Source organism: Homo sapiens, chromosome 1 (assembly GCF_000001405.40).
Source record: "Homo sapiens chromosome 1, GRCh38.p14 Primary Assembly".
Classification (NCBI taxonomy): domain Eukaryota; kingdom Metazoa; phylum Chordata; class Mammalia; order Primates; family Hominidae; genus Homo; species Homo sapiens.
Window position 1 is genome coordinate 43180483 of NC_000001.11, and position 24099 is coordinate 43204581.

General features: G+C 41.2%; 1 protein-coding gene, 1 long non-coding RNA gene and 1 pseudogene across 22 annotated transcripts in view, besides 2 other annotated features; 2 read left to right on the plus strand and 1 right to left on the minus strand.

Moving 5' to 3' along the window:
• The window catches only part of CFAP57 (cilia and flagella associated protein 57), an 82029-nt gene that overhangs the window by 8153 nt on the left and 49777 nt on the right, over positions 1-24099 (plus strand). For all 17 annotated transcript variants that reach the window (XM_011540796.2, NM_001195831.3, XM_011540793.1 and 14 more), the window contains 7 exons: positions 1052-1368; positions 3109-3395; positions 4667-4874; positions 6225-6377; positions 17071-17210; positions 17999-18164; positions 18908-19021. In XM_011540796.2, the coding sequence (XP_011539098.1) occupies positions 1052-1368; positions 3109-3395; positions 4667-4874; positions 6225-6377; positions 17071-17210; positions 17999-18164; positions 18908-19021 (1385 nt within the window). The remainder of the gene's footprint in view (positions 1-1051; positions 1369-3108; positions 3396-4666; positions 4875-6224; positions 6378-17070; positions 17211-17998; positions 18165-18907; positions 19022-24099) is intronic.
• Positions 1200-24099, minus strand: part of LOC105378685 (uncharacterized) — a 68913-nt gene continuing 46013 nt past the window's right edge. For 2 of the 5 annotated variants that reach the window (XR_007066038.1, XR_007066037.1), the window contains exons 5-6: positions 13564-14467; positions 1200-1302 (exon numbers count right to left, since the gene is read on the minus strand). This is a non-coding gene — a long non-coding RNA (uncharacterized LOC105378685). Of the gene's footprint in view, positions 1303-13563; positions 14468-15082; positions 15169-24099 lie in introns of all 5 variants that reach the window. The other 3 variants (XR_007066039.1, XR_007066040.1, XR_007066041.1) reach the window with 3 other exon arrangements.
• Positions 5489-5989: an enhancer, noted in NCBI's record as "H3K4me1 hESC enhancer chr1:43651642-43652142 (GRCh37/hg19 assembly coordinates)". NCBI's record gives its function as "activates a minimal SCP1, AML or CMV promoter by ChIP-STARR-seq in naive and primed H9 embryonic stem cells {active_cell/tissue: H9 hESC(naive and primed)}" and the evidence as "EXISTENCE:reporter gene assay evidence [ECO:0000049][PMID:30033119]".
• Positions 5990-6490: an enhancer, noted in NCBI's record as "H3K4me1 hESC enhancer chr1:43652143-43652643 (GRCh37/hg19 assembly coordinates)". NCBI's record gives its function as "activates a minimal SCP1, AML or CMV promoter by ChIP-STARR-seq in naive H9 embryonic stem cells {active_cell/tissue: H9 hESC(naive)}" and the evidence as "EXISTENCE:reporter gene assay evidence [ECO:0000049][PMID:30033119]".
• On the plus strand, positions 15935-16054 carry RNA5SP46 (RNA, 5S ribosomal pseudogene 46; annotated as a pseudogene).

Here is a 24099-nt window from a genome sequence, read left to right on the forward strand (position 1 = left end):
CAAGGGAGGATGAGCTAGAGAGTGATGTGACGGGTCCCCATGTGTTGGGCCCTCATGCTGCTGCTTCACAACACGCCAAGGAGAGATGCAGCAAGTTGCTCAGCAGGCGTGCATGCCCAGCCCATGGGAATTCTCTGGAAGGGATGCAGAGAGTAGCTGTGGCTCAGAGAAGATCCCAGGTTCTAGGTCACTGAGAGCCTTGCACAAAAGTTTGGACTTCACCTGGGAGGCTGCTGAAAAATTTTAGGAAGGGTGAGTGCAAGGGAGGCTGAGGAATCCAGTAGTTGGCATCCCAACCTCTGGAGTAGAGGAGGAGTGATGAGCTAGCCACTCAGGGAATAAAGACCTCTATGGTCTGACCCTATTCCACCCCTTTAGGCCCATCTTTGGTCACCCCATCTCACATGCAATGCTCCAGCAACACCCACTGCTTGCAGTTCCCGCACTATGCTGTACCCTTTGTCACATCCACCCCGTGGCTCAAGCTCTTCCTGCTATCTACCACCCAGTCCCCATCTCACCTCACCCCCTGCCCTCCTTCAGGAAGGTTTCCCTGACTTCTCCTCCCACCTCATCCTCCAAGGTGCCTGCCCTAGTCATTTTCTTTTGGGGACAGTCTCGCTCTGTCTCCCGGGCTGGAGTACAGTGGCATGATCTCAGCTCACTGCAATCTCCACCTCCCAGGTTCAAGTGATTCTCCTGCCTCAGCCTCCCGAGTAGCTGGGATTACAGGTGCCTGCCACCACACCCGGCTAATTTTTTTATTTTTAGTAGAGATGGGGTTTCACCATGTTGGCCAGGCTGGTCTTGAACTCCCCATTTCAAGTCATCTGCCCACCTCGGCCCCCTGAAGTGCCGGGATTACAGGCGTGAGCCACCACACCTGGCCCCTAGTCATTTTCATAATACCCAAACACAGCTATGCCAAGGCCGCCTTTCTTCTTTGTGTCCACCACTGTCCACTCCAGTGCCCACCACAGTGCCTGGTTCCTGTTGAACCCTGGTGAAAGTGTGATCTACCCTGATTATTTCCTTTTTCCTCTGTTTGCAGGCTCAGAGAAGAGTCAGGGCATGTTGGCCTTGTCCATCAGTCCCAATCGGCGGTACCTCGCTATCTCTGAGACTGTGCAAGAAAAACCTGCCATCACCATTTATGAATTGTCATCCATCCCTTGCCGGAAGCGCAAAGTTCTTAATAATTTTGACTTCCAAGTTCAGAAATTTATTAGCATGGCTTTTTCTCCAGACTCCAAATACCTATTGGCTCAGACGTCACCTCCAGAGTCAAATCTTGTCTACTGGCTGTGGGAAAAACAGAAAGTAATGGCCATTGTTAGAATCGACACTCAGAACAACCCTGTCTACCAGGTACCTAGTAGTGTGACAAGTATCGTGAAAATTATAAAAAATAGAACTACTTTTTATTGAATGTTTTCTGTGTACCACAGTTCTAATTTCCTCCATGCATTTTAAAATTTATTCTTACAACAACCGTATAAGGTATGCACAATCATTATCCCCATTTTACAGATGAGAGAACTGAGGATCCAAGAGGTTAAGTAACTCACTCAAGATCACAGAGGTAGTGAATAGCAGAGCTAGGAGTTCCCCAACTCCAGCTCCTGTCTTCTCTACTCTGGCCCAGAACTGCTTTCTGGTCACAGGTTTGGCCCAGAAGTGGATTAATAAAACTTGCTTTCTCTCCCTGGTCCTAGCCTCTTTTTCCAGCAGCATTGCCGGGCAGTAGGAAGATTTCCGAAATGTGATGTAACATGGTAGGTCTTTAGGAAGCTGTTGCTGAAGTTGCAGTTATGTAAGGAACAGAACCTTCTATTGTGTCTCGAGGGCAAAAGGAAGAAGACCCCTCAGGAACCTGATTGATGGCTTAGGCAGGGGGTCCCAAGGAGGTTTGATCTTGGTTCACTCACCCTAGTCTAGGATCTAGCACTCAATTCCACAAGTTCAACGACTCAGTTGTGTTCATGTTCAGAGATTCTAGCTAATCAGTGTCTCTGGCATAGACTCAATTATTCAACTCACAAGATACTGATGTGTAAACCAGCATATCACAACCAGAATGCTCACATCATTTATCCAGTGTATTCCCTTCCTAGTAATAGAGAAGTTGAGAGGTGAAATTATAATAGTAATCAGAAGGCTGCTGGGTGATTATTCCAGAATCAGACCAAAGGCAGGTAGAACCAGAAGGGTATTTCAACCAGGCCACAGTGAGGCCTGATGAAGGACCTCCTGCTCTGACTAGTAGATTCAGCAACCATTTATTGGATGCCCATGATGAATCCAGCACTGGGAAAACAGATGAAAAAGTCACAGCCCCTCAAGTTGCTCACTATATAGTCAGGACAGCAGGTTGACTGCCTATTACTGTACAGGTAGTCCCCAACTTACTATGGTTCAACTTAAAATATTCGTCTTTACAATGGTACAAGAGTGATATGCACTCAGGAGAAAGAGACCAAGTAATACGCTTTCATGATGCAGGGCAGCAGCTGCAGCCACAGCCCCCGGTCAGCCGCTCAATCACTAGGGTAACAACCAAGATACTCTACAGTGTGGTGCTGTGTGGCCACATGGCTTTGCCCATTTTCAACTTATGGTGTTTTCACCTTATGATGGGTTTATCAGGACATGATCCCATTGTAAGTAGAGGAGCAGGTGTACATTGGGATAAGAGCTGTGATTGAAGGATGTTCAGTTGGTAGGAGACCACATAGCATCCCCTGACATGTGGTTTCTTTCCTCTTGGACAGGGCTATGTAAACCTATCAGACCCTCTTTTTCTGTGTTTCCAGCTGAGCTTTATTCCATTTTGTTGGCACTGGGTGTGGCTCTTGTCAAAAGCTGTTCATTCTGCTCTTTGGCCTTTGTAGATTTCCTAGTTTGACTCCTAGTTGGACTCATATCCCTATAAATATAATGGATTATAGATGTGTGCCCTTATCAAATGCAGCATAAAGTTACATGATTTTGTGATGTTTTGGAGATATTCTGAGCAGCCTGAAATAAATATTAATTTGTAAAATGGGAAATAATTCCATCAAGAATAGTTTCATAAATTTTTTTCTTCAATTCTCTCACATTTTACAGGTGAGCTTCAGTCCACAGGATAACACTCAGGTGTGTGTCACTGGAAATGGGATGTTTAAGCTTCTCCGTTTTGCTGAGGGAACCCTGAAGCAAACCAGCTTTCAGAGGGGAGAACCCCAAAACTATCTAGCTCACACCTGGGTGGCTGATGACAAGATTGTCGTTGGCACTGACACAGGCAAACTCTTCCTCTTTGAATCTGGAGATCAGCGTTGGGAGACCAGCATAATGGTCAAGGAACCTACCAATGGCTCAAAGAGCCTGGATGTCATTCAGGAATCAGAGAGGTAATGGTGCTTCCTGGGCTGGTGCTCCCACATTCATTGTACTGACAGCATTATGCAGAAGACAGCACTCTTTAGAAACCACTCATAACCCCTCTACCGTAAAAGTCAACTATGCCCATTTTCCCTCTTCCTCTCTAGTTTTCGTCTATATTTAAGCACAGATTTAACAGTTATAACCATAGACTAAATACAATTCTTTTTATTTTTTATACCTAACCTCATTTTATAAACATTATAGTATTACTGGTCTTCAAAACTATAGTTTTTAGAAAATATATTTTCCAGTGGCTAATTTAATGAATTGATTCATGTCCACCAAGCCCTTGTAGTATGCAAAAGGCATCTCTTGCTAGATGCTGGGGACACAAGTCCTCAAGGAACTTATAATTCAGCAGGAGGCGACAGACCAACAAGTGCAAGGAAATGTTTTAGGTAAATCTGACAGAGGATAGGGGTAAAGTGCAATCTCAGGAAGGAGTGGTTATTGACCATTATAATAGAGATGCCACGTTATCTCTATGACAACCAGTAAAAATCATATCTCCTGTGTATTGGAATGTACCGTTACATGCACCAGACACTGCTTTAAACATTTTATAAATATTCCCAATTTGATTCTTACCCTGTATAGTTCATACTATTATCGTGCCCATTTTGTAGACAAGGAAACTGAGGATCAAAGAGGTAAGTGAACTACCCAAGATCATTCCGCTGATAAGTGGCAGGCTCAGGATTCAAACCCAGATCTCTCTGATGCCAGAGCCTGGGCCCTCAACCCCAATGACATCCTGTAGATTCTTCTTCCTCAGTAACCTTCAATCCACCCATTTTCACTACCATCCCCCCATGCCAATGGCATATCCTTTTTTTTTTTTTTTTTTTTTTTTTTTTTGTGAGTATGTAGGAGCTTCCTGAAAAGTCTCTATAACCTTCTCCAGGAGCTGTGTTCACAGTCCTTCAGCTCTGGGGTCCAGGCCTCCCAGAACAAAGCCCAGACTTCTTGGTTTGGCCCAAGCATACCTGCGACTGTTTTCCTCTACAACTCTCGCCTCTGTCTACTCCACACGCCCCAAGCACTCTCTTGCTTCTAGGCTTGGCCATGTGCAGTTTGTGTACGGTTCCCAAGCCAAAGGGTAGTATTTGACTGTGGAAAAGGGGATCATTGGGTGGTTTCTGTCACACCCAGTGACAGTCTTCTTTCTCCTCCCCAGCAGAATTCATCTCCTCAAGATTGTCTCTATAAATTATGTATGCTGTTTTTTTGTTTCCAGCCTGATTGAATTTCCACCAGTCAGTTCTCCACTCCCTTCCTATGAACAGATGGTGGCGGCCAGTAGCCATAGCCAGATGTCCATGCCCCAGGTGTTTGCCATTGCAGCCTATTCAAAGGGATTTGCCTGTTCTGCTGGGCCAGGGAGAGTTCTGCTGTTTGAGAAGATGGAAGAAAAGGATTTTTACCGTGAGAGCAGAGAAATCAGGGTAAGGCGGGAAGAAAAAAAAGAAGTAAAATGGGGGTCCTATTGGCATTTGTTCCCCAGCAGCAGTTCTCTGAGAAGGCATCTGATGGGGAGGGATAGGGCAGGATTGCTGAGCAGAAATGGTGAAATGGTGACTCGAGATGTCTGTCCTGAGAGAGATTTTAGGATGAGGTGAACAGAATTAGAGTTTAAAAATAGGAAAATCGACCAGCATATTGGCTTATGCCTGTAATCCCAGCACTTTGGGAGGCCAAGGTGGGTGGGTCTCTTGAACTCAGGAGTTCTAGACCAGCCTGGGCAACATGGTGAAACCCCATCTCTACAAAAAAAAAAAAAAAAAAATTATGAGGTCAGGAGTTTGAGACCAGCCTGGCCAACATGGTGAAACCCCGTCTGTACTAAAAATACAAAAATTAGCCAAGCGTGGCAGTGTGTGCCTGTAGTCCCAGCTACTTGAGAGGCTGAGGCAGGAGAATAGCTTGAACCCAGGAAGCAGAGGTTGCAGTGAGCCAAGATCGCTCCACTGCACTCCAGCCTGGTCGACAGATTGAGACTCTGTCTCAAAAAAAGAAAAAAAAATACAAAATACAAAAAGTAGCCAGGTATGGTGGCACGTGTCTGTAATCCCAGCTAGAATTGCTTGAACCCGGGCAGCAGAGGTTGTAGAAAGCCAAGATCACACCACTGCACTCCAGCCTGGGTGACAGAGCAAGACTCTGTCTCAAAAAAAAAAAAAATTAGCCAGATGTGGTGGTGTGCACCTGTAGTCCCAGTTACTTGAGAGGCTGAGGTGAGAGGATGGCTTGAGCCTGGCAGGTGGAAGTTGCATTGAGCCAAGATCATGCCACTGTATTCCAGTCTGGGTGACAGAGCCAGACCCTCTCTCAAAAAAACAAAGAATAGGAGGATCCCAGGAAGCAGCCTGGTCTGGGAGTCTGTAAGCTAAAGTTATCCAAGAAAACTCTGAAAGCCTAGGCCGGGCGCAGTTGCTCACGCCTGTAATCCCAGCACTTTGGAAGGCCGAGGCGGGCGGATCATGAGGTCAGGAGATCGAGACCATCCTGGCTAACGCGGTGAAACCCTGTCTCTACTAAAAATACAAAAAATTAGCCAAGCGCGGTGGTGGGCGGCTGTTGTCCCAGCTACTCGGGAGGCTGAGGCAGGAGAATGGCGTGAACCCGGGAGGCGGAGCTTGCAGTGAGCTGAGATAGTGCCACTGCACTCTGGCCTGGGCAAAAGAGCGAGACTCCGTCTCAAAAAAAAAAAAAAAAAAAAAAAGAAAACTCTGAAAGCCTAAGGCCACAATGACAACGTGGGGACATTACTGATAGCTGTTTTGCATTTTGGGCAGATTCCTGTGGACCCGCAGAGCAATGATCCAAGTCAGTCTGACAAACAGGACGTTCTCTGCCTGTGCTTCAGCCCCTCAGAGGAAACTCTGGTTGCCAGCACCAGTAAGAACCAACTCTACAGCATCACCATGTCCCTGACAGAGATCAGCAAGGTGAGTCTTTCCAGCAATGGTCCTTCCAGACCAGGACCTATCTGCCTGCTGGGGGACTAGTCACCATGTGGGCAAATTTTAATCCAAATAAGTTAGCATAAACTCATGCATCCCCTTAATACAGAGCAAAACAAAATTCTAATTTTAAGATATTCACATAGAAGCATGCTGATAGACTCAGTGGGGCTGTGATTGCTACAGTAACTTTGGAGGACAGACGTATTGGCATTGTCCATCAAATTTAAATCTCACATATCCTTTTACCCAGAAATTGCATTTTAAGGCATTTAATCTATTGCTATATTTGCTCATGTACACAAATATGTATATATAAAAATGTTTCTTTTTCCTTTTTACTGTTTTGGAATAACAAAGAAAGCTAGTATAAATACACTGCAGACATTACAACAAAAAAGCACTATTAAAGATAGAGATCATATTGTACTTAAAATGGCTCAGTACCAATAAGATATTACAATTTTAAGTTTGCATGTACCTAATACCATAGATTCAAAATATATAAAGCAAATCTGGGCAGAACAAGGAAAATAGACCATCTACAATCATAGTAGAAGATTTAACATATCTTTCTCAGTAATGGTCCTTTTTTTAATAACAACTTAATTGAGTTATGATTCACATACAAATTGCCTATTCAAAGTATACAATTCAGTGGTCTTTAGTATATTCAAAAAGTTATGCAACCATTTATCATAGACAGCCTTAGGACATTTTTATCACCTCAAAAAAAAAAAAAGCGCATACCCTTTAGCTATTATTATTCCTCCATCCTCCCAATTATCACCCCTCCCCACCCCAGCCCTAGGCCACTACTTACCTACTTCATGTCTCTATATATAGATTTGCCTATTCTGGACATTTCATTCAAATGGAATCATAAAACGTGTGGACTTTTATGACTGGCTTCTTTGACTTAGCATAATGGGTTTTGTTGTTGTTTTGAGACAGGGTCTTGCTCTGTCACCCAGGTGGGAGTGCAGTGGTGTGATCATGGCTCACTGCAGCCTTGACCTCCTGGGCTCCAGCAATCTTCCCACCTCAGCTTCCCAAGTAGTTAGGACTACAGGTGCACGCCACCACACCCAGCTAGCTTTTGTATTTTTAGTAGAGACAGGGTTTTGCCATGTTTCCCAGGCTGGTCTTGAGTTCCTGAGCTCAAGCAGTCCACCCGCCTCATCCTCCCAAAGTGTTGGGATTACAAGTGTGAGCCGCCACACCTGGCCAGCATGTTTTCAATGTTCATCCATGTTGTAGCAGGTATCAGTACTTCATTCCTTTTTTATGGCCAAATAATATTTAATTATATGGATATACTATATTTTATTCATCAAATTTGTATATTTGGGTTTTTTCTACCTTTTGGCTTTTATGAATAATGCAACTAGTTTTTATGTGGATGGGTTTTCATTTCTCTTCCTAGAAGTGGAATTGCTGAGTCATATGGTAACTTCATGTTCAATTATTTGAGGAACTGCCATACTGTTTTCCAAAGTTGCTGGACCGTTTTATATTCCCATAAGCAGTATATGAGCATTCTGATTTCTCTATATTCTTGCCAAAACTTGTTATTATCTTTTTTATTATAGCCATCTTAGTGGGTAAGAAGTGGTATCTCATTGTGGTTTTGATTTGCATTTACCTGGTGATTAATGATGAACGTCTTTTCAAGAATTTCTAATTCTTCTTTGAAGAAATGTCTATTCAGATTTTTTGCCCATTTAAAAAATTGAGTCATATGTCTTTTTATTATTGAGTTGTAACAGTTATTTATAATTCTAGATATAAGTCCTTTATCAGATATGTGATTTGCAAATACTATGTCCCATTCTGTGGGTTGTCTTTTCACTTTTTTGATGTTGTCTTTTGATGAAGTTTTCAATTTTGATGAAATTGAATTTATCTATTTTTCTTTTGTTGGTTGTGCTTTCCATGTTATATTTAAGAAGCCAATGCCTGAGGCCATGAAGATTTACCTCTGTATTTCTTCTAAGAGTTTCATAGTGCTAGCTCTTACATCTAGGTCTTTAATCCGTTTTGAATTCATTTGAGTATATGGGATGGTATAGGGGTCCAACTTCATTCTTTGGCATGTAGATATCCAGTCGTCACAGCATCATTTGTTGAAAAGGCTAGTCTTTCTCCATTGAGTAGTCTTGGCATCTTGTTGGAAATCAGTTGACACATGGGTTTGTTTCAGGACTTCCAATTCTGTTCCATTGATCTGTCTATCTTTATGCCAGTACCACACTGTCTTGATTACTGCTGCTTTGTAGCAAACTTTAAAATTGGGAATTGTGAATCTTGCAAATGTAGTCTACTTTATCAAGATTGTTTTGGGTAGTCTGTGTCCCTTGCAATTCCATATGGATTTTACAGTCAGCTTTTCAATTTCTACAAGAAGCCATCTGGGATCCTCACCGGGATTGCATTGAATTTATAGATCAATGTGGGGAGTGTTGCCATCTTAACAATACTAAGCCTTCCAATTCTTGAGCATGAGATATTTTCCATTTATTTAGATTGTCTTTAATTTGTTTCAAGAACATTTTGTAATTTTCAGAGTATAACTTTTGCACTTCTTTTGTTAAATATATTCTGAAAAATTTTCTTCATGATGCTATTGTAAATTGAATTATTTTCCTAATTTCATTTTTGGATTGTTCATTCTAAGTGTATAGAAATACAATTAATTTTTGCATACTGATCTTGTCTCCTGCAACCTTGCCAAACTCATTTATTAGTTCCAGTAGTTTTTGTGTTAGGTTATTCTGGCATTGCTATAAACGAGTACCTGAGACTGAGTAATTTATAAAGAAAGGAAGTTTAATTGGCTCATGGTTCTGCAGGGTGTACAGGAAGCATGGTGCTGGCATCTGCTTCTGGTAAGGGTTCAGGAAGCTTACAATCATAGTGGAAGATGAAGGGGTAGTATGCACATCACATGGTGAGAGCAGGAGCAAGAGAGGGAGGTGAGAGATGCCACACACTGTTAAACAACCAGATCTCTCATGAACTCACTCATCACCAAGGGGATGTCACTAAACCATTCATAAACCATTCATGAGGGATATGCCCCCAATGATCCAAGCACCTCCCACCAGGTCCCACCTTCAACACTGGGGTTACATTTCAACATGAGATTTGGAGGAGACAAATATCCAAATTTTATCAGCGTTTTTAGTGAATTCCTTAGGATTTTCTATATATAAGATCATGACATCTGCAATAGAGGTAGTTTTAGTCTTCCTTTCCAATCTGTGAATGCCTGTTACTTATTTTCCTTGCCTAGTTGCCATGGCTAGAACCTCTAGTATCATGTCAAATATCAGTGATGAGTGCAGATCCTTGTCTTGTTCCTAATCTTAGGGAGAAAGCATCCAGTCTCTTTTTTTTTTTTTTTTTTTTTTTGAGACGGAGTCTCGCTCTGTCACCCAGGCTGGAGGGCAGTGGCGCAATCTTGGCTCACTGCAAGCTCCACCTACCGGGTTCATGCCATTCTCCTGCCTCAGACTCCCGAGTAGCTGGAGCTACAGGCGCCCGCCACCATGCCCAGCTAATTTTTTGTATTTTTAGTAGAGACGGGGTTTCACCATGTTAGCCAGGATGGTCTCGATCTCCTGATCTTGTGATCCGCCTGCCTCGGCCTCCTAAAGTGCTGGGATTACAGGCGTGAGTCACCGTGCCCGGCTGCATCCAGTCTTTAACGATTAAGTTTGATGCTGTCTGTAGGTTTTTTTGAAGATACTGTTTATCAGGCTGAAAAAGTTCCCTTCTATTCCTAGTTTGTTGAATGTTTTTATCATGAACGGCTGTTGGATTTTGTCACATTTTTTTTTTCCTGTGTCTATTGAAATTATTGTGTGAGTTTTCGTTTTTTACTTTATTAATATAGTATATTATACTAAGTGATTTTCAGATGTTAAACCACCCTTGCATTCTTGGGATAAAATCCACTTGGCCATAGTATATAATCATTTTCATATTAGTATATTCAATTTACTAGTATTTTGTTGAGGATTTTTGTATCCATATTTATAAGAAATAGTGATCTGTAGTTTTCTTGTGATGTCTTTGACTGCTTTTGCATCAGGGCCTCATAGAATGAGTTGGGAAGTGTTCCAGCCTCTTCTAATTTTTTGAAGGTTTGTGAAGAATTGGTATTAATTCTTCTTTAAGTGTTTGGTAGAATTCACCAGTGAAGTCATCTGGGCCTGGGCTTTTCTTTGTGGAAAGTTTCTTTTTCTAATTAATCTCTTTACCTATTTTCATCTATTTAGATTGTCTATTTCTTCTTGAGCCAGTTTCAGTTTTTGTGTCATTCTAGGAATTTGTCTATTTGTCTAATATAGTGGCATGCAATTGTTCATAGTATTCCTTTATGATCCTTTTTATTTCTGTAAGCTTAATGGTAATATTCCCTCTTTTGGCCGGGCGTGGTGGCTCACGCCTGCAATCCCAGCACTTTGGGAGGCTGAGCCAGGCAGGTCACGAGCTCAGGAGATTGAGACCATCCTGGCTAACACAGTGAAACCCCGTCTCTACTAAAAATACAAAAAATTAGCCAGGCATGGTGGTGGGCGCCTGTGGTCCCAGCTACTCGGGAGGCTGAGGCAGGAGAATGGCGTGAACCCGGGAAGCAGGGCTTGCAGTGAGCCAAGATCGTGCCACTGCACTCCAGCATGGGTGACAAAGCAAGACTCCGTCTCAAAAAAAAAAAAAAAAAAAAGTAATATTCCCTCCTTCATTTCTGATTGTATTAATATGATTTTCCTCCTCCCCCCATTTTTTTTTATCTCTTTAAAGAATCAGCTTTCGGTTTCATTGATTTTTCTCTATTGCTTTGCTATTCTCTATTTCATTAATGTTCACTCTAATCTTTACTGTTTCCTTCCTTTGGCTTGCTTTAGGTTTAGGTTGCTCTTTTTTTTTTTCCAGTGTCTTAAGGTAGAAGATTAGGTTATTTATTTAAGATCTTTCTTTTTTGAAAATGTAGGTATTTGCAGCCAGAAAAAAACTCCTCTTAATATTGCTTACCATAAATTTTGCTATGTTATGTCTTTATTTTCATTAATCTCAAATATTTTGGAATTTCTCTTTTGATTTCTTTTTGACCCATTGGTTTTAGGAGTGTGTTGTTAAATTTCTGCTTATTTGTGAGTTTTCCAGTTTCTTTCTGTTTGTTATTAATTATTAATTTAATTACACTGTGCTTAGAGAATATATTTTGTATTATTTCTATTCTTTTAAATTTATTAAGGTTTGTTTTTGGCCTGGCATATAATCTATTCTGGAGACTGCTCTATATGCACTTGAGAAGAATGTATATTCTGTTATTATTGAGTTGGGTGTTCTATATACGTCTGTTAGGTCTGGTTGGTTTTTAGTGTTGTTCAGATCTTCTGTTTCTTGTCATCTTCTGCCTACTTGTCTTGATTGTTTTTGAAAGTGGTGTATTGCATGGCCTGGTGTGGTGGCTCACGCCTGTAATCCCAGCACTTCGGGAGGCCAAGGTGGGCAGATCACCTGAGGTCAGGAGTTCATGACCAGCCTGATCAACATGGAGAAACCCCGTGTCTACTAAAAAAATACAAAATTAGCCAGGCGTGGTGGCGCATGCCTATAATCCCAGCTACTCAGGAGGCTGAGGCAGGAGAATCGCTTGAACCCAGGAGGCAGAGGTTGTGGTGAGCCAAGATTGTGCCATTGCACTCCAGCCTGGGCAATAAGAGTGAAACTCCATCTCAAAAATAAATCAATAAAAAAGCCGGGAGTGGTGGCTCACACCTGTAATCCTAGCACTTTGGGAGGCCGAGGTGGGTGGATCATCTAAGGTCGAGAGGTCGAGACCAGCCTGACCAACATGGCGAAACCCAGTCTCTATTAAAAATACAAAAAAATTAGCTGGGCGTGGTGGCACATGCCTGTAATCCCAGCTACTCAGGAGGCTGAGGCAGGAGAATTGCTAGAACCCGGGAGGTGGAGGTTGCGGTGAGCCGAGATCATGCCATTGTACTCCAGCCTGGGCAACAAGAGTGAAAACTCCATCTCAAAAAAAAAAATAAAAAGAAAGAAAGTGGTATATTGCAATCTTCAACTCCTATTGTTGAGCTGTCTATTTTCCCCTTCATTCTTGACAATTTTTACTTTATACATTTGGGTGCTCTATTTTTAGGTGCACATATCTTTACAATTAATATATTTTCCTGATGGGTTGACCATTTTGCATTATAAAATATGTCTCTATTTCTAGTAACATTTTCTATTTTGAAGCCTATTTTGCCTGATCTTACTGTAACCACACCAGCATTTTTGTTGTTGCTGTTTGTATGGTATATCTTTTTTCATCCTTTTACTCTCAATATATTTGTATCTTTGATTCCAAACTGTGTCTCTTATACACATCATATAATTTAATCTTTTTTTATCCAGTCTGACAATCTCTTTTGATTGGATTGTTTAATCAGTTCACATTTAATGTTATTACTGGTATAGTTGAATTTATGTCTACCATTTTTGTGTGTGTGTATCATGGGGTTTTTGTTCTTCTGTTCCTCTCTATGCCTTCTTTCACATTAAGTAAAATTTTAAGGTAGTGTTTTAATATCTTTAATTATTTTTCCCTATATACTTTTAATTATTTCTTAGGGCTTACCATACACACTTTAACTCATTATAATCAGATTCAGTTTGATTCAATTTCATACTAACTTAATGCTAGTAACATATAGAAATGTTATTGCCACATAGCTACCTTCCCTTTCCCCTTTTTAATGGTAATATTGTTATATATATTACATCTATGAGTGTTACAAACCCCAATGACATATTCTTATAATTATTACCTTATATAATTTTATATATTTTAAAGAAGCTGAGGTTAGAATGGGGAGCAATTATATATTTATAGTCTTTTTATGTTAACCTTTACTATCATTTCTGGTTCTTTTCATTTGTTTCTTGAGTTTGAGTTACCACTGAAGTCATTTCTTTAATCTGGTACACATTTGTTCCCACCCACCATTTGTGTGCTATTACTGGGAAATATATTACATTTCTATATGTTATAGCAACAACAGTATATTATATGCATATTGTTTCCTACAATTGCTTTTTAAATCAGCTAAAAGATGATGAAATATATATTTATATTGTCTTTTATAATTACCTTTACCAGTGCTCTTTGTTTTGTGTGGATTTGAATTACTATCTGGAGTAACTTGCTTTCAACCTAAAGGATTTCCTTTAGTATTTTCTGTAAGTCATATCTGCTAGCAACATATTTTTTCAGTTTTTTTGGTAATTTTTTTTCACCTTTAGTTCTAAAAGATAGCTTTGCAGGATTTTTGTTTGACAGCTTTTTCTTTAAGCACTTTGAACATGTTATCCCATTCTCTTCTGGCTTCCGTTGTTGTTGCTGAGATATCTGCTATTAATCTTATTGGGACTCTTTTGTAAGTGATCAGTCATTTTTCTATTGATGCTTTCAAAATTTTCTTCTCATCTTTAGCTTTCATTATTTTTGCCAAAATGTGTCTGTTTGTGGAACTCTTTGTGTTTTTCCTACTTGGAGTTCATTGAGCTTCCTATATGTGTACACTGGTGTTTCCCAATAAATTTATAATATTTTCAGCAATTATTTATGAAAATGTTTTTTCTGTTCCTTTCTCTTTCTCCTCTCCTTCTAGCATTCACCTTATGCATTAGTTGGTGTGCTTAATGGTGTCCCACATTTTTCTGAGGCTCTGTAAATTTCTAATTCTTTTTCCTCTCTGTTCTTCAAATTGCTAATCTTTTTTGATCTATAAAGTTCACTAATTCTTCTGCCAGTTCAGATCTATTCTTGAGCACCTCTAGTGGATTTTTCATTTCAGTTATTGTAGTTTTTAACTCTAGAATTTCTATTTTCTTACAGTTCTATCCCTATATTGATGGGATCCTTTTATTCTTCTCTATTTGATGCATATCATTTCTACCTTTACTTGTTTAATCATGGTTTCCTTTAGTTTTTTGGACACACTTGGAATGGCTAATTTCAAGCCTTTGGGTGCTGCCGTAGGGAATTTTGTTGCCTGTGAACAGAAAAATGCAAATTAATACAACTCTGAGATGCTTCTTTATAAGAAGTTTCATTACTATATTGTCAAAAATTAAAAATCCACTTATTACCAGAGATTTCTGAGGACAGGGGAAAATGATAACCCTAATATGGTGATGATGGGAGTGTAAACTGATACAGCCATTCTAGCAAGGAATCCGATAATTCTTGGTCAAATAGAGAGTGCATGTACCTTGTTATCCAGTAGTCTGCACTGGATACACACCAGGAATTTGACCCCACAGAGCCATTAAAGAACATGGACAGGCCAGGTGTGATGGCTCACACCTATAATCCCAGCACTTTGGGAAGCTGAGGCGGGTGGATCACAAGGTCAAGAGATCGAGACCATCCTGGCCAACATGGTGAAACCCCGTCTCTACTAAAAATACAAAAATTAGCTGGGCATGGTGGCATGTGCCTGCAGTCCCAGCTACTAGGGAGGTTGAGGCAGGAGAATCGCTTGAACCTGGGAGGCGGAGTTGCAGTGAGCCGAGATCACGCCACTGCACTCCAGCCTGGCATCAGAGCGAGACTCCATCTCAAAAGAAAAAAAGAAAAAAAAAAAAACATGGACAAAGATATTCACCATAGTGTTTGTAGCAATGGACGGTTGAAGACAATCCACATGTTCATTCCTAGTGGTAATGAAGAAGTAAAGTAGCTAGATGCACACTGTAGAATATCAAACATCAGTTAGAAGCAAATTATACATACTGCAACATAGATGATTCCTTAAAAATTTCGTGTTGAGAAAAAAGTAAAAGTACAGAAAGAGATCTGAAGCACAATATCATTTATAGAAATATAAAACACATATGTATATAGTCAGTGACATACATGAAATCCTTTTGTTGGTGCCTACTTATCATAGGGAGGAACAGAAGTAAAAATTGAGAAAGAAAGGAGCGAAATAAAATAAAATTTGTCTTATATGAATTTATGATGAATCTCTGCAAGTCTGCTTCTGAGATACAAAATGAAAACAAAGACACAGAAAGCAAGGAAATATGAGATAATGTCATCAGATGAGATTTAGAATTGGAAGAAAAAGGTTGGAATGTTTGAAAAGGAGAATAAACAGTATGAAATACTTATCTTGGATATTTAGAATGTGAATTTATTGAAAAAATATGGTAGAGTTACCAGACAGGGTTAAATGCCCACTGGAGGTTTGTGGTCATGCATTTGCAGTGAAACCGGTAAGCCCACTTGTGTGATTCCCCATCATTGCATGACTCCTCAGGCAGAGGGGGAAGAGAGAGCATTGCTTTTGTTTTTAAGACAAGAGAGATTTGAGTGTGTAAAAGCTAATAGGAATGTGCTCATAGAGACAGGCAGGTTGAAGATATTGGAGAAAGAAAGCGTAACAGATGGAGAAGAATAACAATAACCTGTGCCTGCCTACCCAGCATAGCATCTCTTTCTCTGAGATAGTAGGGTCTACAGCCATAACACCGTGAATGCACCTGATCTTGTCTGATCTCAGAAGCTAAGCAGGGTCAGGCCTGGTTAATACTTGGATGGGAGATACTAGCGTAGGATAGAGTGGATGCAGATAAATTTATAAGTGGCAGAGGGGCAGAATTTGAAAAAAAAAATCCATTTCAGCCTTTGTCTTGGCTTGCGAACAGACCTAAATATGTACATCTCATTAAATTTCCCAACGATCACTCCTCATTCAGGTGTTCCAGAAACAATGCCTCTGATGACAGACATCTGTAACCTACATAACCAGTGCAGTAGGATGCATTTCAATTTAAAATCATCCATCCAACTCTCATTTGCTACTGGTGATAATTAGTGCAGTCTCTCCAGAGAGAAACTTGGCATTATTTATCCAGATCCTTAAAAATCATTCATACAATTTTTCCCAGTATTCCACTTCTAGAACTGTATACTAAGGAAATAATCAGAGAGATACAAAGACTTGTGCAAGGATATTTAGTCTAGTGTTATTCCTATAATAAATAACAAAAATTGGAAGCCACTTAAATGTTCCTACAGCAGAGGAAGGGTTAAATTAAATTCTAAGATATCCATTGAAGAAAATATTTTATTGCCATTAAAATAATGTTTAAAAATAATATTGGCTCAGCCAAGCATGGTGGCTCACGCCTGTAATCCCAGCACTTTGGGAGGCCAAGGTGGGCGGATCATAAGGTCAGGAGATCGAGACCATCCTGGGCTAACATAGTGAAACCGCGTCTCTACTAAAAATACAAAAAAAAATTAGCCGGGCATGGTGGCAGGCGCCTGCAGTCCCAGCTACTCGGGAGGCTGAGGCAGGAGAATGGTGTGAACCCGGGAGGCGGAGCTTGCAGTGAGATGAGATTGCGCCACTGCACTCCAGCCTGGGGGACAGAGCGAGACTCCATCTCAAACATAAAATAAAATAAAATAAAAAATAATAATAATATTGGCTCAGGAAAATATGCATAATATTCAAACAGTTTAGCCACAGCCTGATTTCTGTGCACCCAGGCTAATTAATGTTCATGGGAACTAATTAGAGCTGACATGTACAGCCAGCCTTTTGCTTACTCTGCGGGATCTTGTTCTGTGTGATTTCTCTAGGGGGAGCCTGCTCACTTTGAGTATTTGATGTATCCATTGCACTCAGCACCCATCACCGGTCTAGCTACCTGCATCCGCAAACCCCTTATAGCCACCTGTTCTCTGGATCGATCCATCCGCCTTTGGAATTATGAAACAAAGTAAGGAATGAAAGGCTTGCCTACTTTATTATGCAAGACCCCAGTTGTGAATTTATGTGAATTATTTTAATTACAGTGTTCCAAACTTTAATTATTTAGAAGCTTTCAGTTGGAAAAGATTTTTAAAAAATCAAGTCAGTCAACCTACCTGTTTCTCACTCTTGCGTGGGCTAGAAAACTACTTTGTGGTTTATTTAATGCTTACCACATGCTAGACACTGGGGACATGAAGAGATGAAGACAACACCTCAGTCTCTCACCTTCTTACATAAACTCCTGGGTCCCTCCAGCTCTCCTATCCCCTTGTTTCCCACAGGAACTGCTCTTTGCTTCAGGGAGCTCTCCAGACCCTTTCTTCCTCATCTTTCTCCCAGGACATCACTATCTCAACCACCCCCAACTCCCTCCTGACTTTACCTTCCAGCACAGCTTCCCTGGGAAGCTCCAACCCTAGGTGGACCCCCACCCCCTACTGTTTTCTTTGTTCTTATGTACAACTTCTGGGGCTTCTGGGGAAAAAATACTTGGACAATACTCATGAATTTTGGAATATAAACAGAGCTATGTCTTCAGCATCGCTAGACCACACCTTGACCAGTCTCCCTATCTACCATGCTCCACGCTGGACATTATCCCCTAATAACCAAGATCTAGAAAAGAGAGGAACCAACAATTGCAAACAGTAGTGTGTCTCAAATACGATGATAACAATATATATCAGATACAGTAGATGACTGGAAGGATTTAGTGAGCTAAGCTTACAATTCAGTAATTGATCTTTTTCACAGCACCCTGGAACTATTTAAGGAATACCAAGAAGAGGCATATTCCATCAGCCTTCATCCATCTGGACACTTCATTGTAGTAGGGTTTGCTGACAAACTACGCCTCATGAATCTACTCATTGATGATATACGTTCTTTCAAAGAATACTCTGTTAGAGGATGCGGAGAGGTAAAAAAAAAACTGCTGAAGACAAAAGTCCAGTTTCTTAGAAAGCCACGGCTGAAATATCAGGAACTAACATGATCTGGGGAGGTGGGACCAAAATCTGTCTTGGAGAACTACAGTGGCTTAAAAAAAGGGGGAAGGAGGAAATCCAGTTATTTTCCCAGCAACCTTATTGAGTATATGGTTCCATCCCCATATTCTTATGTCCACCAGACTATTTCATTGAACCTAAAACCTTGTGAGATCCCCGCTATGATAAGTCCTGTCTGTAATTGTGGAATATTAACAAATATTTTAAAAGAAAAGTAATCTCAGAATCAGAGTCACAGCTAAGAAGGTGAGGTTGGAGACGGAGGAGCCAGGGAAAAATAAGCATCAATGGTGAGAGGTAATAAAGAGCGCATCAGCTTTCCCTGAGGTGTCTTGCAGAAACAAGGCAATGATTTCAGGAATTACTTCCCCGGCTCTGAAACATGCTTCTACAGGCAAAATGATTGCTTGTGGTCCCAACGGCTTAATGATTTGTGGGCCTGACAGTGTCAGCATCTGGCCACTATGAGTTACAGGAATAATGAAAGTGTCTGAAAATGTCAGCCACTCCTCAGTCTCATTTGCACCTTCCCCCCACTCCCACCCTCACACGTAGTTTCAGTCTGAACTCGTTGGGAAAAGCACCTCTTGACTGTAACCTCTAATTAGACTGCTCACTTCCTGCTTGCTTGCTCTCTTGCTGTCTTTCCCTATAGTGTTCCTTTAGCAATGGAGGTCACCTGTTTGCTGCAGTCAATGGAAATGTGATTCACGTTTACACCACCACGAGCCTAGAGAACATCTCAAGCCTGAAAGGACACACAGGGAAGGTAAGTGAGTGAACAGTCTCTGGGGAAACAAGGGGCACGGAGCCAAGTATGCCGCCAGCCAGTGGGATACAGGTGAACAAAAGAGAGATGGTTCCTTTCCTCATGGGTTCACTGTCTACTTGGGGAAAGAGACAATAAAACAAATGCACAGACAAATGTAGTTACTAATTGCAGTTCCACTGAAAGAAAAACATGGTGTTGTTGTGAGAGAAATAATGAAGGGGGCGGCATAATTTAGGTGGCTGTATTTGCAAAGGCTTGGTCCTATAAGAGTGAGTAGGAGTTAATCAGACACAACTGGTGGGGATAATCACTGCAGATAGGGATCCAAAGGCCAGAGATGGGAGACTCATAGGGTGTCAGAGAACGTGAAAGTCTGTGGGCCTGGAATGTGGTGCCAGGATAAACCGTGGGGTAAAGATGGGCTGAGATTGGAGAGGTCACAAGGGCCCAAATGCATGGAAACTTGTAGGCCTTGTAAGGATTTATCCTTCTTATTTCTTGAAATCATGGAAGACTTTCAGGGCAGAGAATATGACCGGATTTGCATTTTGAAGGATTACTTTGGCAGCAGAGTGAAGACTATTGAAGGGGGCGAGGGTAGAAATGGTGAGGAGGCTATTGTGGATATCTACACCATAGATAATAGTGGTGGTGATACAGTTAGGGAGAAGTGGATGGATTCAAATGATTTTAGAAAGTAAAGTCGTGGTGGCTTATGCCTATAATCTAAGCACTTTGGGAAGCTGATGTAGGAGGATCGCTTGCACTCAGGAGTTCGAGACTAGCCTGGGCAACATAAGGAGACCCTGTTTCTACAAAAAGTAAAAAATATTAGCCAGGTGTGGTGGCACACACCTGTGGTCCCAGTTACTTGGGAGGCTGCGGTGGGAGGATCACTTGGGCCCAGGAGGTCAAGGCTGCAATAAGCCATGATCACACCACTGCACTCCAGCCTGGGTGACAAGAGTAAGACCCTGTCTGAAAAAAAAAAAGAAAGAAAGAAAGAAAGAAAAGCAAAAGAAAAAAAGAAAGTAAAATCACTAGGTCCTAGAGTAGTAGATTAGATGTGAGGCATGATTAAGAGGGAGAGGCATAGAAAGGGTAAGAAGTCAGCAGATGAATTTGGAGATAAGAGGCCATTGGAAAAGAGAGGCATTCTAGGCAGAAGGACTTGTTGGAGATGATGAAATGGAGGTATGAAATAGGACAGTGCTCATTGGTTCATATGGCTGGAACACTGGACACATTTGAGCAATGATAGAGGGAGTAGGAAAGGTTGGCTGCATCGCAGAAGGTAGTGTATGCCATGCCAAGGAATTGGACTTTAGTCTCTAGGTGACGAGAAACAACGGAAAGGATTTAAGCAAGAAAGTAATGGGATCAGAAAGGTAACTCTCTGAACAGTATTGAGGAAGGATTAGAGTGGAAGGAAATTGGAGTGATGGAGAGCAGTTAGGATGTGAAGGTGAAAGCTGGGTTAGGAACTAAACCATGACTTTAGTAGCGGAGGCAGAGAGAAGAAAGAGATGAAGTTCCATTTTGGCCATGTGATATTTGACGTGCCCAGAAGTGTGATGTATGTGTGTGGAGGTCAGGAGAGAAGTCAGGGCTGAGTATGAAGATTCGGGGAATTAGAAAGTAGAGGAAGTCAGAGGCATAGATTAGATCACCAAGGGCCTATGTAGAATCTGAGAAGAATATTGGACAGCAGAGGGAAGACCAACATTTAAGAGACTGGTGAAAGAAGAGGAGCCGATGAAAGACTGAAAATAAAGATACAAAGAGAACTTGGAATCAGATAATTATCTCAAAGAAGCCAAGGAACTAAACAATTTCTGAAAGGTTGAAGTGGTCAGTGGTACTAGATGTCAGAGGGAGGTCATGTAAAGTCCAAAACTGACCGTTGACTTTAGCAAATAACAGATCATTGGAAGGAAAAGTAAAAATGTGTGGAAAGTGAAAGTGCTATGTAAACACAAGCATTTTTGTTTGTTTTTGAGACGGAGTCTCACTCTGTCACCCAGGCTGGAGTGCAGAGGCGTGATCTCGGCTCACTGCAACCTCCACCTCCTGAGTTCAAGCGATTCTCCTGCCTCAGCCTCCCAAGTAACACAAACTCTTTTTTTGAGACAGAGTTTCGCTTTCGTTGCCCAGGCTGGAGTGCAATGGCACAATCTCAGCTCACCGCAACCTCCGCCTCCCAGGTTCAAGCGATTCTCCTGCCTCAGCCTCCTGAGTAGCTGGGATTACAGGCATGTACCACCACACCCGGGTAATTTTGTATTTTTAATAGAGACGGGGTTTCTCCATGTTGGTCAGGCTGGTCTTGAACTACTGACCTCAGGTGATCCACCCACCTCGGCCTCCCAAAGTCCTGGGATTACAGGCGTGAGCCACCGCGCCTGGCCCACGGACATTATTAATGAGAGCTGCTGAGCCTCCTCAGCTTCAGCAATATAATTAGTCTTCAAGTGACTGTGGAGATGCGGATGAAAGTACAGAAAGTGATTCTGATGCCCAAGCTCACCAGTCCAGGAAAACAGCCATTTGTTTCATCACTTTACAAGTACTTAAAACACTGGTCTCTAATTAGGGATATATGTTAGAATGACATGTGTAACATTTTTTACAAATACAGATACAGGATGCAGCTAAAGCTATGCATACAGGGAAATGTATAACCTTAAATACATATACTGTGTTAGAAATGAAAAAAGATACATAAGCATCCATCTCAAGAAGTTAGAAAAAGAACAGCAAATTAAATTCAAATAAAAGGCAGGAAATAAAGATAAGAGCAGAAGTTAATAAAATAGAAAACAGACAAAAGATCATCAAAGCCAAAATTTGATTCTTTGAAAACACGAAATAGACAAACCCTTGGCATGACTGATGAAGAAAAAATTAAGAGTGTGGAGATACCAACAACCAATATGAGGATTAAAAAGGGGATATCACTAAAGGTCCTATAGACATTAAAAAGATCTGAAAGGGGTCCGGGCGCAGTCACTCACGCCTGTAATCTCAGTACTTCGGGAGGCTGAGGCAGGCGGATCCCTTGAGATCGGGAGTTCGAGACCAGCCTGGCCAACATGGTGAAACTTCATCTCTACTAAAACTACAAAAATCAGCCGGGTGTGGTGGCACACACCTGTAATCCCAGCTACTCAGGAGGCTGAGACAGGAGGATCGCTTGAACCTCGGAGGCGGAGGTTGCAGTGAGCCGAGATTATGCCACTGCACTCTACCTTGGGTAACAGAGTGAGACCCTACCTCAAAAAAAAAACAAAATGAAAAAAAAATTGAAAGGATATTATGAACTTTATGCAAATAAATTTTAATATATAGATGAAACTGACAAATTCCTATAAAAATTGAATCTGTAGGCTGGGCGCAGTGGCTCACACCTGTAATCCCAGCACTTTGGGAGGCTGAGGTGGGCGGATCACGAGGTCAGGAGATGGAGATCATCCTGGATAACACGGTGAAACTCCGTCTCTACTAAAAATACAAAATATTAGCCGAGCATGGTGGTGGGCACCTGTAGTCCCAGCTACTCGGGAGGCTGAGGCAGGAGAATGGCATGAACCTGGGGGATGGAGGTTGCAGTGAGCCGAGATCATGCCAGTGCAGTCTAGCCTGGGCAGCAGAGTGAGACTCTGCCTCAAAACAAAACAAAACAAAACAAAACAAGAAGAATCTGTAACTTAAAACCTTTCTACAAAGAAAACTCTAGGCCCAGATCTTATCACTGGGGAATTTTATCAACATTTAAGGAAAAAAAAATAACACTATCACTAATCTTGAAAAAAACTCTTCTAGAGAATTGGAAAAAGAAGGAATACTTTCCAGTTATGTTCTATGAGGCCAAAATAATTGTGATACCAAAATCTGTCAAAGACACCACAAGAAAAAAAAATAAGCTAGTCTTTTTCATGAGCACAGATAGAAATATATATTTATATATATATTTTAGACGGAGTCTTGCTGTGTCACCAGGCTGGAGTGCAGTGGCACCATCTCGGCTCACTGCAACCTCTGCCTCCTGGGTTCAAACGATTCTCCTGCCTCAGCCTCCTGAGTAGCTGAGATTACAGGTGTGCGCCACCATGCCCAGCTAATTTTTGTATTTTTAGTAGAGACAGGGTTTCACCATTTTGGCCAGGATGGTCTCGATCTCTTCACCTCATGATCCACCTGCCTTGGCCTCCCAAAGTGCTGGGATTACAGGTGTGAGCCACCGTGGCCGGCCAGCTTTCAAGATTTTCTTATCTTTGGCTTTCAACATTTTGTTTTTGATGTGTCTGGATCTAGATTTCTTTGCATTTATCCTACTTGGAGTTTATTGTACTTCTTGGATGTGTAGGTTAATGTTTTTCAACAAATTTGAGATTTTTCAGCATTATTTATTTGAATATTTGTTGTTTTTCTCTCTTCTCCTAGTGCTCTCATTACAGTACCATACGTGGGTGCATTTAATGGATGCCCACATTTCTCTGAAACTCTGTTAATGTTAATTTTTCTTGATTAGTGTTTCTCTCTGTTCTTCCAATTGCACAATCTCTATTGAGCTATTTCAAGTTTGCCAGCTCAAATCTACTGTTGAGCCTTCCAGTGAATTTTTCGTTTTGGTTATTGTACTTTTCAACTCCAGAATTTCCATTTGATTTTTGAACTAATTTCTGTTTTCTTATTATATTCTTTATTTGATGAGGCTTGTCATCCTACCTTCCTTTAATTATTTAAGCGTAGTTTCCTTTAGTTAATTGAACTTATTTGTATTAGCTACTTTGAAGTCTTTGTCCGCAAAATCTACCATCTGGGCCCCTTCAAAGGCAATTTCTATTGCCTGAATGCTTTCTTTCTTTCTTTTTCTTATTGGTTACACTCTTTTTGTTTGTTTGTTTGTTTGTTTATGTTTCAATTTTTTGTTGGCTGAATATTTTAGACAATATATTGTAGCAGTTCTGAATATGTGTCCCCCCAGGGCATTGTTGTTGGTTGGTTGGCTGATTATCTGTTTCGTGACTTGGCTGAGCTAATTCTGTAAAGTCTGTTTCCCCTGTAGTGAGCAG